This window comes from Homo sapiens, chromosome 3, assembly GCF_000001405.40.
Source record: "Homo sapiens chromosome 3, GRCh38.p14 Primary Assembly".
NCBI lineage: Eukaryota > Metazoa > Chordata > Mammalia > Primates > Hominidae > Homo > Homo sapiens.
This window is the reverse complement of record NC_000003.12, coordinates 136,576,692-136,592,881: the sequence shown is the minus strand read 5'-3', so window position 1 is coordinate 136,592,881 and position 16,190 is coordinate 136,576,692. Positions and strand designations below refer to the sequence as shown.

Genomic DNA, 16,190 nt, shown 5'->3' with positions numbered 1-16,190 from the left:
AACCTTTCAGAAGACTGTCTACAGTGGTTATTGCTGGACTTTGCCCTGCCTATTTTGAGAGGAGGACTAAGGATAAATTACTCTTAGGCCTGTGGCAGCCCCAGAATGCAGTTGTGTAAAGAGTCCTTCTGCTGGTAATCTCTATGTGGATAAGAAATTGCCACCTACTTTTACCCACCATGAAGTATTTGGCAACTAACCTTAGCGTTGTCATTTTAGTGGTCCTGGTGGCCATTGTTGCTGGCATTGTAGTTCTGGTGGTCACCATCAGGAGAAAGTTGGGGAAATATAAGAAGATAGAGATCAAGGGTTGAGGGAGTTGAATATATGGGCAAGTGTATTAGTTTGTTCTCACATGGCTATCAGGAAATACCTGAGACTGGGTAATTTATAAAGAAAAGAGATTTCATTGACTCGCAGTTCTGCATGGCTGGGGAGGCCTTAGGAAACTTACAATCATGGTGGAAGGTACCTCTTTATAGGGCAGCAGGAGAGAAAATGAGTGCTAGCAGGGGAAATGCCAGATGCTTATAAAACCATCAGATCTCATGAGGACTCACTCACTGTCATGAGAACATTATAGGGGATACCACCCCCATGATTCAATTACCTCCTACTGGGTCCATCCCATGACACATGGGGATTATGGGAATTACAATTCAAAATGAGATTTGGGTAGAGACATAGCCAAACTATATCAGCAAGTATGGGTCTGTAGTAGGGAAGACATAAAGGGAGGGTTCAGGATCAGTTCAGAGTGAAACTTAATTCTCGGTCCAAGGCAGATACTTCCTCCATCATCATCCCCAACTTCCCTTCCTCCCTTTCCTTCCATTCTTCAGTTTGATGGTTTTGACCCAGGACTACCTCTCTTTCTGGCCTCATGTCCCAACCTTTCTTGAAGTGCTGTTTCTAATATTCTTTCTTACTCTTGGTCCAGGGCCAAGAAATCTGACTCTTGAATTCAGCAAAGGTAGATGTAAGAGGTCTCCATTGAATGATGTCTTTGATAGTATGTAAAGGAAAAGGTTAAGATGATACCCTAGGGCCATTTCAAAGTGATGGGATACCTTTTAAAGGTTTAATGAGTTTATGTGAGGAACAGTGCTTTTCTTTCTTGCATTTAGTTCTTTTAATTATCTCTCTCTGGTTCCAAATGGAAAGATTTGGCATCTTCATCCTGAATTCTACTTCATAGTTATCATCTTGTTGAAAAGAAAATTTTGGTTTTATTTGAACTTGCACAATAGCCATATTTCTTGTCTGTTATACCACCAATACATATGCTTTGCTTCTCACTTAACAGATAATTTTTTTTTTTTTTTCAAATAGAGATGTTGACCTTTCAAATAGGTCAGTGTTGTCCAGGCTGACCTCGAACTTCTGGGCCCAAGTGATCCTCCCCGGCCTGAGCCTCTCGAGTAGCTGGGACTACAGGTGCATATGGCCATGACGCCAAGCCCAGGGAATATTATTTTTTTGCTTAAACAATTTCCTTCCTTCCCTCCTTCCTTCCTTCCTTTCTTCCTTCCTTCCTTCTTTCCCTCCTTACTTCCTTACTTCTTTCTTTCCTGCCTTCCTGCCTTCCCACCTTCCCGCCTTCCCTCCTCCCCTCCTCCCTCCTCCCTTCCTCCCTCCCTCCCTCCCTTCTTTTTTTTTTTTTTGAAAAAAGACTCTGTCCACAAACTGCCAGTGTTTATTCTGCAGGTCACTCATTAAAGCTATTAGTAATATTTTATTATGTAAAAATGTTTGTACATATTTTGTCTTTGATAATTTTGCAGCAACTTTCTTAATATAACAAATCTAATGAAATATAATAAAATATGGGGAAAGCATAAAGTGAAAGATGGAGTTTGAATTTCAGTCAGATTATGCAAAAAAAAACAAAACAACACCCAACCAAAACCAATACAGCTTTTCTGGGGGGTCCTGGTGAGAGGTTGTGCATCATCAGATAAAATAAATGGAACTTCACAGATAACTAATTGGATAAATGAAATATTTACGTCCATCAGTGAACTGTCAAACCAGGGCACATATTTTAGAACTGATTAATTAATTTGATCCTCAGAAATTTTCAGATTTTATAACCCATAGTGTCTCCACAATTGTATTTTTATAAAGCTATCATCATTGAACCCCTTTAGAGATTCAGCTGAATTACCTTTATACTCCTTCATTTTTATACTCTACAGTTACAGCTCATCATCTTGTACATGTCTTAGACCAATATTTGGAACTGGTCCAGGATATTTTACAATAAGTCCTGGTCATATGAGTAACTTTTAGGTTATTCAAGCATAAAAGTAGGAAAGTGCTAAATATAAGCTGCATTTCTCCCAGTCTTTTAGTTTTTTTGTTTTTGTTTTTTTTTTTCTTTTTTTTTGAGACAGAGTCTTGTTCTGTCACCCAGGCTGGAGTGCAGTGGCGCGATCTCAGCTCACTGCAACCTCTGCCTCCTGGGTTCATGCGATTCTCCTGCCTCAGCCTCCCGAGTAGCTGGGATTACAGGCGCACACCACTACGCCTGGCTAATTTTTTTTGTGTGTATTTTTTTTGGTAGAGACGGGGTTTCACTGTGTTGGCCAGACTGGTCTCGAACTCCTGACCTCGTGATCCACCCACCTCAACCTCCCAAAGTGCTGAGATTACAGGCGTGAGCCACCGTGCCCAGCCAGTCTTTAGTTTTTAGTCATGAAGTGTTTGAATTGTCTTCTGTTTCTCAGAGATACATGTATTTTTATTTTATTTATTTAGAGACGGAGTCTCACTCTGTCACCCAGGCTGGAGTGCAATAGCATGATCTTGGCTCACTGCAACTTCCATCTCCTGGGTTCAAGTGATTCTCCTGCCTCAGCTTTCCTAGTAGATGGGATTATAGGTGTGTGCCACCAGGCCTGGCTATTTTTTGTATTTTTATTTATTATGTATTTTTATTTTTATTTTTTGAGATGGAATCTCGCTCTGTTACCCAGGCCGGAGTGCAGTGGCTCGATCTCGGTTCACTGCAACTTCCGCCTCCCGGATTCAGGCGATCCTCCTGCCTCAGCCTCCCGAGTAGCTGGGATTACTGACGTGTGCCACCACGCCCAGCTAATTTTTGTATTTTTAGTAGAGACAGCGTTTCACTATGTTGGCTAGGTTGGTCTTGAACTCCTGACCTCAAGTGATGGACCCACCTTGGCCTCCCAAAGTGCTGGGATTACAGGCGTGAGCCACTGCATTTGGCTTTTTTTTTTTTTTTTTTTTTGGCTCCCTTTGTTGCCCAGGCTGGAGTGCAGTGGCACGATCTTGGCTCACTGCAACCTCCGCCTCCTGGGTTTAAGTGATTCTGCTGTCTGGCCTATTTTTTGTTTTTTGTTTGTTTGGTTTTTTGAGACAGAGTCTCGCTCTGTCACCCAGGCTGGAGTGCAGTGGCACAGTCTTGGCTCACTGCAACCTCTGCCTCCGAGTTCAATCGATTCTCCTGCATTAGCCTCCCAAGTAGCTGGGATTACAGGCACACGCCACCACACCTTGCTAATTTTTTTTTGTTTGTTTTTAGTAGAGACTGGGTTTCACCATGTTGGTCAGGCTGGTCTCGAACTCCTGACCTCAGGTCATCTGCCCGCCTTGGCCTCCCAAACTGCTAGGATTACAGGCGTGTGCCACTGCGCCCGGCCTTGATTGGCTTTTTAAAGATAAAATAGGCCAGGTGCAGTGGCTCATGCCTGTAATCCCAACACTTAGGGAGGCCAAGACAGGCGGATCACCTGAGGTTAAGAGTTCCAGACCAGTCTGACCATTGTGGTGAAACCCCATGTCTATTAAAAATACAAGGCTGGGTGTGGTGGCTCATACCTGTAATCCCAACACTTTGGGAGACGAAGGCGGGTAGATCACAGGGTCAGGAGTTCGAGATTAGCATGGCCAACATAGTGAAACCCCTTCTCTGCTAAAAATACAAAAGTTATTTGGTTGTGGTGACACGTGCCTGTAGTCCGAGCTACTTGGGAGGCTGAAGCAGGAGAATTGCTTGAAGCTGGAAGCGGAGGTTGCAGTGAGCTGAGATTGTGCCATTGCACTCCAGCCTGGGTGACAGAGCGAGACTCCCATCTCACAAAACCAACCAAACAAAAAAAACAGAAAATAGGCTGGGCAGCAGAATCACTTGAACCCGGGAGGCGGAGGTTGTGGTGAGTTGAGATGGCGCCACTGCACTCCAGCCTGGGCAACAGAGGGAGACAAAAAAAAAAATAAAGCCAAATGCAGTGGCTCACGCCTGTAATCCCAGCATTTTGGGAGGCCAAGGCAGGTGGATCACTTGAGGTCAGGAGTTCAAGACCAACCTAGCTAACATGGTGAAACCCTGTTTCTACTAAAAATACAAAAATTAGCCAGCATGGTGGCATGCATCGGTAATCCTGGCTACTTGGAAGGCTGAGGCAGGAGGATTGCCTGAATCTGGGAGGTGGAAGTTGCAGTGAGCCGAGATCGAGCCAACCATTGCACTACAGCCTGAGCATCAAGAGCGAAACTCCATCTCAAAACAAAAACAAAAGCCCAAAAACAACAACAGAAAAAACCCAAAAAACCAGTCAAATATAGCAGTGGCGGGTGGCGGGTTGTATACCAACTTTAATGACACTAATGTTAATAAGTTCTGATAACCCACTACCATCAGACCAGCCATGTGTATATTTGTATATATCTACTGATTGATTACCCTCCCCAGTAGATAATGAGCAAGTGAAGAGCGAATTCATGTTTTGCTATTTGTTGAACAATGTGTTAAGAATGTTTTTATGAGGGAAAGATGTTAACATAAAAGGTATTTGACAAATTTCTAAATTTTCCTTGGACTTGATTAATCTTTACTCTTACTTTGACCTAATATTGTGTTAAGTGTAGGCTATTTTTTTGTTTTGTTTTTTTTGAGATAAACTTTTGCTCTTGTTGCCCAGGCTGGAGTGTAATGGTGCCATCTTGGCTCACTGCAACCTCCGCCCCCCCGGGTTCAAGCTATTCTCCTGCCTCAGCCTTGCGAGGAGCAGGGATTACAGGGACCCGCCTGGCTTATTTTTGGCTGGCTAATTTTTGTGTTTTTGGTAGAGATAGGGTTTCACCACATTGGCCAAGCTGGTCTCCACCTCCTGACCTCAGGTGATCTACCCACCTTGGCCTCCCAAAGTGCTGGGGTTACAGACATGAGCCACCATGCCTGGCCTGGCTAATTTTTCTTTTTAAGCAATTTAGTTCTGTTTTCCCTTTATTTTCCTAGGATGAAAAGTAATACATAGAATATACAGAATGTATTGGGTCAAAAGCTATAAATTGCTTTTTTTTTTTTTTTTTTTTGAGATGGAGTTTCATTCTTGTTACCCAGGCTAGAGTGCAAATGGTGTGATCTCGGCTCCCTGCAACCTCCACCTTCCAGGTTCAAGCGATTCTCCTGCCTCAGCCTCCCGAGTAGCTGGGATTACAGATGCCTACCACCATGCCTGGCTAATTTTTGTATTTCTAGTTGAGACAGGGTTTCACCATGATGGCCAGACTAGTCTCATACTCCTGACCTCAAGTGATCCACCTGCCTCGGCCTGCCGAAGTGTTGGAATTACAGGTGTGAGCCATCAGGTCCGGCCTCAAATTGCTTTTTTCATTTCATAGCTGTTTGAAAATCCTCAGATGATAGATTAATATTTGCTTAAGAGTGAAGTTGTTTTTTTTTTTTAACATAATTAGAAAGTCTCTGAAATTAACTTTGGGTATTTTAACGTGTCTTAAATGAGTCTAGCAGCTTCATGTATAGTTCACATGCTGTTAAAAAATGTACTTTAAATCAGTAGCTTATCATGATAGACAATTTCTCATTTATGTAACCATCCAATACCAGAGTTAGTGGTAGCTATCTTTTCTTCATAGGATGATTCAGGAATCTAAGCCCCTCCATTTTCTGGCTCTTCTTACCCCTAGAGCCTTCATGTTGTTTGCATTCACTTGGTTGGAAGGGGAGAGAGAAAGAGAAGCAGTGTCTACTTCTTAGAAGCCTTTGGCCCCTCTATTTACATTCCATTGATGGGAACTTACCACATACTCAGGTGAGCTAAGTAATGTATTTCATAGCTGGATGCTTGCTTCCCCATGTTAGTGCATACAGATTAGTCACACTACAATTATTTTTAGGTAATTAGAAGGCATGCAGTAAATATTTTGCTTTTGTTTAATTTCTCCAAAACACAATAGATTATAAAAGCTGCTGATTAGTGCCAAGATAAGAAGAGCATTCACTGCCTTCAGGTTACTTAGAGCTAGATCCTTGAAGGAAGTTAGAAACTTTAAATAGGAATTTTCTTAGCCTCTGTTCAGTTACACCTAAAGGTACCTACTGTTACTCGTGAGCTTAGCTTTTAGCAAATATATTGATGTTATTATTTTTCTGTACTTGCTGATTTCAAACACGTGGTTTTAAATTAACATGGGTGTTTTAGATAATATTAAGTCCCTTCATGATTTCCCGTAAATCATTTTCCAAAGGCTTTATCCCTATATATATAGAATTTTATACAGATTATCTAGGGCAGATCAAGTAAGTAAAGAGATGACTGTAGTGTTTGTGATTATGATGTGTGTGTGTGTGTGTGTATATGTATATGTATACACACACATAAAGGATTATACATTTACTGGTTTTATTTAATGTTTAGGAAAAATGGACTTTATGTATTTACATACTTCATTTATATTATTGTTTATAGATGTTTAAATATATGAAATATGGTGGACTTTCTATTAGTTTAATTTTCAAAGAGGGAACCTAACTTACTTTAATGCTTCTAGCCAAATTATCCTGCATGTACCCTCAGTAAGAATTGAAATACAGAAAACATTGCATGAATAAAGCTATATCCAGGTATAAATGAGATTTCTTAAAAATTCTTTCTCAATAAATTTGGTTTGAATATGCCTGTGCAGTTTCTCATTGTACACTGACTTGAATCATGTATGAAGCAGAATCCTTGCAAAAAGCTAATTCACAATTTGTTTCCAAACTACTAAAGAAAACTGAATGTATGTTGATAGAATTTCTCACTATTTGCTAGGTTTTAGTCTTAGCTTTTGAGATAGGAAGACAAAAGAGATTTGTTTACTTCCAGTGAGGACCTTTGATCTCAGTACAGGATTTCTTAATCTGGAGTCAGTGCTAGGATTCTTGGAGGACATGAACACAGATGGAAAGAGTGGTGAAAAGGAAAAAATTGGAATTGATTAATTTTATTTTTTTATTATTATTATTATTATTATTATTTTTGAGTCTCACTCTGTCACCCAGGCTGGAGAGCAGTGGTGCCATCTCAGCTCACTGCATTCAAGTAATTCTCCTGTCTCAACCTCCTTAGTGGCTGAGATTACAGGCCACCATGCCCAGATAATTTTTGTGATGTTTTGTTTGTTTGTTTTGAGATGGAGTCTCACTCTGTCGCCCAGGCTGTAGTGCAGCGGCGTGATCTCGGCTCACTGCAACCTCCGCCTCCCGGGTTCCAACGATTCTGCTGCCTCAGCCTCCCCAGTAGCTGAGATTACAGGTGAACACCACCATACCTGGCTAATTTTTGTAATTTTAGCAGAGACAGGGTTTTACCATGTTGGCCAGGCTGGTCTGAAACTCCTGACCTCAGGTGATCTGCCCATCTTGGCCTCCCAAATTGCTGGGATTATAGGTGTGAGCCAGTGCTCCCAGCCTGGAATTGATTTAAAAGACGTAAGTGAGAAAACTGATCTAGGACAGGTAAAATAATTGTTGAAGGCATTGGAGATGAAATTTATAGCTGTTCCAGTTCATATAATTATTTGATATTTTTCCTAAGGCTCTGTAACCCAGATATTAGTAATCTAAATTTACTCTTCAGCAAAAAGAACAAGAATGTGAGTTATGATTCATTCCAGGAACTCCTTTCAGTAGTTGTAGTTCATTGAGTGTCCTGAGTTACTTAAAACAAGACAGAGTATAATCTGGCATGTATAGTCTTAGAAAATGTTTATAGATGTCATGCTGTTTGCAGCATTAATGGGCTGGGATATGAATGTCTCCTAACTGGATGCAGAGAGGACCTGAAAAAACATAATTAAGAAAGTTAAAAGCCCCATATTCCATATTAAAACTTCATCCTTCACCTGTCACTCAGAGGCTTGCCTTGGTATGTTCCTTGCTAGCTTCTCCTCAGACCTACAGAAGTAGAAATTGTGGATTGAAAGATATTGGATGTATCTTCAATAAGAATATCAAAATACCTCAGCATTATGGCTCAAATTAGGATAGAGAACACTGAACCAAGAAACAAAGCTTCAGTGACTGGGCATGGAAGGAGGGATGGCTTATGAGGCTGATCTATCACAAGGTGGAGGAGTGGTGGTAGGAATCCTGGCAAGGGTCCTAAAGGCTGATCAGTCTTTTGAATGCTGATAGAAACAGGATGGCTTGCATGTGATAGTTAATAGCTAGGAGACAGCAGTTATCATAAAGTACCTAAAAAGTAAGTACTGTAATATTCCAAGGTTACTGGGATAATAGCCCAGTTTTAGATAAGGGCCAAGGAGGTTTTGTGAACTGGTTGAATGTATAGAGGAATTTTACTGTGTGAACTACTAGTTTATTGTGTCCAGTCCAGATATTTTTAGTGGAAATAATCTTGAAGGAAGATCAGTGGAAGAATAAGGAGAAAGAAACCAAGACCAGTATGGTATTTTAGAGTACCAGGACAGGAGAGCATTGTGCTTTTAACGATTGTTGGTGATACAGATTACATGGTCATTTAAAAAGTTTTATTGGCTTAGGTGTTTAGAATAAATTGGCTTTAAAATTGAACAGTTGTATAGGCTCTCCAGCTGGTGTTTTGTTTTGTTTGGCTTTGAGTGACATGTAGCTGATCCCCAGGTATTTTACAGTGGGGAAAATACTATGAGGAGACAAAGATAGAAAGTTGTCATTATTTAACTGGGACGGTCTTGGGCAAGTCACTAAACATCTTCCCTCCCCTAGTTTCCTTATAATTGATCTTCTGTCTAATTAGGTTTGTTTTTTTGTTTTTGTTTTTGTTTTTTAAATCTCCTTGAGAGACAGTGTCTCATTCTATTGCTCAGGCTGGAGTGCCATGGCACGATCTTGGCTCACTGCAGCCTTTGCCTCCTGGGTTTAAGCAATTGTTGTGCCTCAGCCTCCCAAGTAGCTGGGATTACAGGTGTGCACCACCACACCTGGCTAATTTTTGTATTTTTAGTAGAGACAGGGTTTCACCACGTTGGCCAGGCTGGTGTCGAACTCCTGACCTTAGGTGATCCACCCACCTTGGCCTCCCAGAGTGCTAGGATTACAGGCATGAGCTACTGCACCGGCCCTTATTAGGCTTCATGTGAGAATCAGGTGAGGCTGATTTATGTCAGTATATTGTTCTACAAATTATTTTAATTATACTTGGCTTCATGATAACATTAAAAAAATTCATGATAAATTCAGCCCAGTTTCAGTGGACTTAATGTGGTTCTGATTTTGTAGAATTTTTTTTGTATTTATAGATATTATATTGAGTTCTAGAATACATCATGTTAAAATTTAACTTAAAACTAGAAAAAAGTTAGAATGAGAAGGATTCTGAGTGGTCCTGTTTTGAGTCAGGCAATACCTTCTTAAGCATATACAATATCCCTTACCCTGAATTAATTTTTTAATTTAATCTTCTTTTAAATTGTGTATTAAATGAATTGCCTGAGAGCCTACTGCTTTTAATAAGATGCTAAGGTTAATCAAAATAATTCATTTCAATATTGACTTAGTTGATACCATTATATTTTGTAATAAAGAAATAATGCAGCTATAGAGAAGAAGCATAGCAGTTCAGAATGGGTCTAAAAATTCTGACACTAGTCTATGCACAAAGAGAAAAATAAAGGTAATGAATTTCTCTTCTTAACCTTTTTTTGATTCTTTTCTTTACTATTGTGGCAACCCTTTGCTCATCTCTCAAGTTATTTGTGGAGATTTGCTGGTTCATGAAATAACATCTTGGAATTGCTAATTTATTTTTTATTTTATTTATTTATTTTTTTGACATGGAGTCTGACTCTGTTGCCTAGGCTGGAGTACAGTGGCTTGATCTCTGCTCACTGCAGCCTCCGTCTCCTGGGTTCAAGTGAGTCTCCTGCCCCAGCCTCCCAAGTAACTGGGACTACAGGCACGCACCACCACGCCTGGCTAATTTTTGTAGTTTTAGTAGAGATGGCGTTTCGCCACATTGGCCAGGCTGGTCTCGAACTCCTGACCTCAGATGATCCACCCACCTCAGCCTCTCCAAGTGCTGGGATTACAGGCGTGAGCCACCGTGCCCAGCCTGGAATTGCTAATTTATATGATCCAAATTTAAAGCCTGGCATTATACCATTAGCAACTAGCAAAGGATTTTTTCCTTCCTTTTTCCATTATCAGCTCTTGCTAATGGCTCTCTGAGAAACAGGTGGTTAATGTTAACTGCTACTTCAAAAGCATCTGTTACATGTGAAACAAACTCCCTCAGCTCTCCTTAAAACTGTGGTGAGCCTCTTCTAGCCGTGTTTATTACCTGAACTTCTCTCATTGCAGGTATTGGCTATGTACCTTTGATACATTTGTGTTTCTTTGTTAACCCCCCACCCCCACCTCTTCAACCCCCACACAAAAAACAAAGCAGGATTAAATGTTTTCCTATAGCAGGAACTATGGTAAGCACTTTTTGTATCCACTTAGCACCTTCCACTGTAAAATGTATATAGTCAGCACTTAGTGACTTACTAAGATGATTTAACAAATTATTTCCTTTTAGATGTATAATTTTTAAAATAATGTTTATTACTTTTTTATTTAACTCATATATACTCTTGTTAGAAATTTAGAAGAAAACTTTAAAAGGAAGAGAAGAAAGTATCACACATAGTCATAATTTTTAAGATTTTGGTTCCTGGTGTTTTGTTTGGTGTTTGGTTTAGGCTTATGTTAAAGTTATATTTGTTTTATAAAAGTGGAATGATTAATTTTTTCCACTGTTGATATTCCTTGAATATATGTGAATTTTTAATATATGGTATTCCATAAAAAAATTCCATTTTTTCATTTCCATTTTGATTGTGTTATAATTTTTCATTATCCTAAGTAGAAGTAAACATTTAGAAAATCTTGATGCCCATATAATTTTTCATGTGATTCGTTTAACTAGGGCTGCTGGGTCCAAAAATATTAATATTTTTAAGGTTTTGTATAAATGTAACCAAATAGCTGTCTCTTCCTACCAGCATTGTAAATACTTATTTTGCAAACCTCTGGCAACACTGAGGGTCATCATTTAAATACATTATTTGTCATTTGAAAGATTAAAATGGTCTATTTGCGTTTCTTTGATAAAAAGACAGGTGGTTTTTTTTCTGAAATATTTGTGTTTCCTTTAAAAATCTTTTTAAAATAACTTATATGTATTGCAACAGCAAAATATTAGGGATTGTTTTTGAACTTGCTGAATGATTGAGTAGAACCTACATGTAAGTGGCAAGAAAATTCTGGAAATGAAGAGTAATGAAGGACTTGCTCTACCGATTTGTAGATTGTATCATAAAACTTCAGAAAATAGTAATGTAAATTAGCGGAGCTCAACAGCTGGCAGATGGATCACTTGAACAGAAATAGACCTAAGTGTATCAATAACATAACTAAGTTAAAAATTATGTTCTTGTCTGGGCTTGCTGGCACATACCTATAATCCCAGCACTTTGGGAGGCTGAGGTAGGAGGATTGCTTGAGCCCAGGAGTTCACTAGCTTGGACAACATAATGAGACCTCATCTCTACAAAAAAATTTTTGTTCTCCTGATACTTTCTTTCTCTTATAATTGTGACTGACAGTTGATTAACAACTTGAAAAAAAAGAAAAGCACAAGATTTTTACCTCATACCATATACCAAAGTAGAGTCTAGATGTAGTAAATAATAAAATAATAATTCAATGAGAAAAAAATTTGGTGAAAAACTTAGATTTAAGAATTATACAAGAGGCCGGGTGCGGTGGCTCACGCCTGTAATCCCAGCACTTTGGGAGGCCGAGGCGGGTGGATCATGAGGTCAGGAGATCGAGACCATCCTGGCTAACAAGGTGAAACCCCGTCTCTACTAAAAATACAAAAAATTAGCCGGGCGCGGTGGCGGGCGCCTGTAGTCCCAGCTACTCGGGAGGCTGAGGCAGGAGAATGGCGTGAACCCGGGAAGCGGAGCTTGCAGTGAGCCGAGATTGCGCCACTGCAGTCCGCAGTCCGGCCTGGGCGACAGAGCGAGACTCCGTCTCAAAAAAAAAAAAAAAAAAAAAAAGAATTATACAAGAATAAATGCAAACTCAGAGCAAATGATTTGTTTGCCTACTTTGTATATTCAGCCTTTTACCATATAATAGCCACCTTTTTACTGTTTAGTGCTTCTAATCTTTAATACTAACTTGATGTTAATATTGTCACCACAGTTTTTCTGTTTTTTTATTTACCTAGTATTTATTGATTCGTATCTTTATTTTCTTCTTTTTTATTTTTATCTAAGTAATACATGTACATGACTTAAACAAATCAAATGAGCCGGGCGCGGTGGCTCATGCCTGTAATCCCAGCACTTTGGGAGGCCAAGGCAGGCATATCACAAGGTCAAGAGATCAAGACCATCCTGGCCAACATGATGAAACCTCATCTCTACTAAAAATACAAAAAATTAGCTGTGCGTGGTGGTGCACGCCTGTAGTCCCAGCTACTTGGGAGGCTGAGACAGGAGGATTGCTTGAACCTTGGAGGTGGAGGTTGCAGTGAGCCGAGATCGCACCACTGGACTCCAGCCTGGCGACAGAGTGAGACTCCGTCTCAAAAAAAAAAAAAAAAAAAAAAAAAAAATTCAGATGGTATTGTGACCAAAATAGCAATCCCCTGTTCTGTCCTCTCCACTTCCAACCTGGTGGAATGTTTTCATTTCTTTTAGCTTTTTTCTCCTCTGGCATTTACATAATTATTTACTGATATTTTATACGTATACACTGACAGCATTGTACTAATTGTTTATGATGAACGGGGAGTACATCTAAAGCCTTAGTAAAACATATGCAAAGTAGAATGTAGGAGTTGCCCCTCCAACCCTGTCAAATTCAGAGCCTGGTGGACACCTCAATAAAGTTTCAGGGCAGTCAGTGGTCTGGAACATGTTACCAGAATGTGATGTTTTGTGGAATAAAATGACACATTGGAGAATCCCATGTAGAAAGTAACTGTGGGCAGCTTCTTGGCCCTGAGGTTTGTCTCTAGCCATTAGCCAGCAGGACGTCAAGGGCTTCAGTTATACAACCACAAGGAAATCAACCTAAGTGAGCTTAGAAATCGCTTCTTCCCAGTTGAGCATCCAGATTAGAATGCAGCACGGTAAGTGCCTTGATTGCAGCCTAATGAGACCCTAGAGGATTCAACTGAGCTGTGTTCAGATTCCTGAATCCACAGAAATTGTGAGATATTAGATAACCAATACAACTACCTTATGGCAGAGACAGGAGAACTAGCATAGTGCTAAAGCATTCATACTTAGTTGAGTACGAAGGTATACTTCTGTCATTTCAGGTAACAACTTGCTTTGAGTGGTTCTTGTTAATTGGAGAAAAAGGAGTTAGTGAGGTCAGTAGCTGCATATCAAGTTCCAGGGGCTGCCACTACAGTTAATGTAACCACCTAGTTAAGTTTATTATAGTCCATAGTCATTCTTCAAGATCCCTCTAACTTCAGCATAGGCCAAACTAGTGAGTTAAATGAAGATGTAATAGATTTTACCACCCCTGCTTCTTTCAAGTCTTTGATTAAACTCTGCAATTTCCCAGGGATGTAGTGTTTACTTCTAGTTTATTATCTTGGTAGGGAGAGGAAGTTCCACGAACTTCCTTTTAGCCATATTTAACCTTAATGACCTTAATCGTGTAGGTTAGAAAGCTGATAATGGGGTTTCTGCCAGTTGCCAAGTATGTCTTTTCCAATTACACATTCTGGAAGTGGGGAAATAACCACAGGGTGGGTCAGTGGTGGTCCCACTCTTAGACAGACATGAGTTACAACTCCATCATCTATTACCTGACCACTGTAAGCCCCTGATTTAACTGGTGGACTGCAATGGCATTTTGAATCCCCAGGAATTAATGTCAATTCAGAGACAGTGTCTATTAATACATGAAAGGTCTGGATATTTCCTTTCAACAATGCACAGTATCTCTAATTAATGGCTACAGGTCCCTTTGGGAAAGGATTAAAAGATTTATTGTATGTACTTGGAATAGTTGTACAGGGATCTGGTTCCCCTTCAGTCAGGGGGCTCTGGGTCTGTGAACTGAGACAGGTCTGGAGACTGGTGAGAGTCCATAACTCTCCACAAGTTAGATTTCTGCCTACCAGGCCTAAAGTTTTTTCTTCTCCATAAATCAAACAGTATTCTTGTGGGCTGCCCACCTATATTGTTCCTAGGGGTACTGGTAATGTTATCTACTGCCCAAGATCTCTGCAGGCCAAGACGTTGTGAATACCAGTGTGTCCCTACTGCCCTTTATAGACAATTTGCTCTCTTGGTCTTTGATGGTTAAGTGTGGCCACTTGGGCTGTGTTACCTTGGGATCCCATCATCTCCATAGAAATCTCTTAATGACCACATTCCCCATAGTCATATCTGGCTTACAAAAAAGAGTAAGCTTACAGAACTTTAAAAGCACATAGATATAGTTACTCCCTTCACTATTGTAGTTTTCATTGCCTCTGGGCCCTCTTGTGGAGCATAGTTGAGGAATGGGGCTGCATGTGTATAGTTCTCACATGGTAAGTCTAGTCCAGCATTCCTAACTCCCTAATCTGTCAAGGCCAGGGAGGCTCTGGTATCTCAGCTGTTAAATCCAGCTTTCAGTGCACCAACCAGATAAACTGTTGTAGTCACTTTCAGCGACAGGAACTAATGTATGAAGTCTGGAATCTCTAGTAAGTGCGCCTGATACCAATGAATTTGGCGTGTTATGGTTTTATACCACCTCCTTTGGTAAAATACATTTAGAATCTACTATCATACATGTTCCTCAGATTTCTGTTGAGTATATAAGCTATTTTCTTCTGGGTTATAGTGTGTATTTGTGTTCTTGGAGCATGGTGAGATTTGACCCTAGTCATGGATCTAGTGGCATCAGGGGCTGGTTTTGGTAAGTCTTCAGGAGAATGAGCATCCCCCTTCAAGGCATCTGTCCATGTAAAGTTATCAGAGGGCTTTCAAGCTTAAGAAGGCTAGTATTCTCAAACCTTGGAAAGCAAGCTACTTCCACTGGTATGGGAGGCTCAGAATTACTTGGAGGATGGGGGAGAGCTATTCAAAATTGTTAGTTTGATCTGGGACCAACCAGATTTCTCTGTTCCAAGTTTTTGGATCCCATTCTTTGCCAGTTAAGATCCTTACTTCCAGATGAGAAACTTGGTGAGACTGAATTAAACTGTTATTGCCTCTGATACAATTAGATTTTATTGGCTTGATTTTCAACAAAATCAGCCCCTCACCTATAAGAAATGAGACATTCTAGGATTCTTCATGGAAGTTCTCTGGTTCTCAAATTACGACTTAAGCTGAGCATTAATTGACTTGAGCTTTTTGTTTTATCTCTGTGAATACTCAGGTGTACTTAAAAGGATCTTTCTTAACCCTGCTGCCTTTACAGCCATAATTATTGCCGTAATTCCTAAATTCAGCAGCCATGTAAGCTTTCAAGGCATGTGCTTGAATTGGTACTTTATCACAATCAGCCACCAGCAATAGCTTGATTAATTTTCCCAAGTTACTATATGACATCGATTACTAGCATTCCATTTCCTTGGCAAGGAGCTAAGCTCTATCTTTAATCCAAAGCAAACGAATCTACTTTAATCCAAAGCAAACGAATCTATCTTTCTCCAAAGCAAACGAATCTACTCTTAAGCAGCAGTATAGAATACGAATTCTCTGTGCCCTTGTCTGCTTAACCAAGGTCCTACTAAATGGCTTACTGAGAAAAGTATACTTAACCTAATAGAATTTGAAGAATGTGGACTCTGTACTATGTAGATATCTAGATTGAATTGATTTATCTTTTAGGTTTACCTTACAGGGAGCTTAGGCAGATTTAA

General features: G+C 40.0%; 1 protein-coding gene and 1 pseudogene across 6 annotated transcripts in view; one reads left to right on the top strand and one right to left on the bottom strand.

The window, feature by feature from the left end:
- Positions 1-16,190, top strand: part of STAG1 (STAG1 cohesin complex component) — a 416,143-nt gene that overhangs the window by 159,497 nt on the left and 240,456 nt on the right. The window contains exon 2 of one of the 6 annotated variants that reach the window (XM_047447230.1): positions 5,956-6,080. The exons of the other annotated variants lie outside the window; for them this stretch is intronic. The gene's annotated coding sequence lies outside the window, so the exon portion shown is untranslated. The remainder of the gene's footprint in view (positions 1-5,955; positions 6,081-16,190) is intronic. 6 annotated transcript variants of the gene reach the window in all.
- Positions 4,571-4,673, bottom strand: RNY4P4 (RNY4 pseudogene 4; annotated as a pseudogene).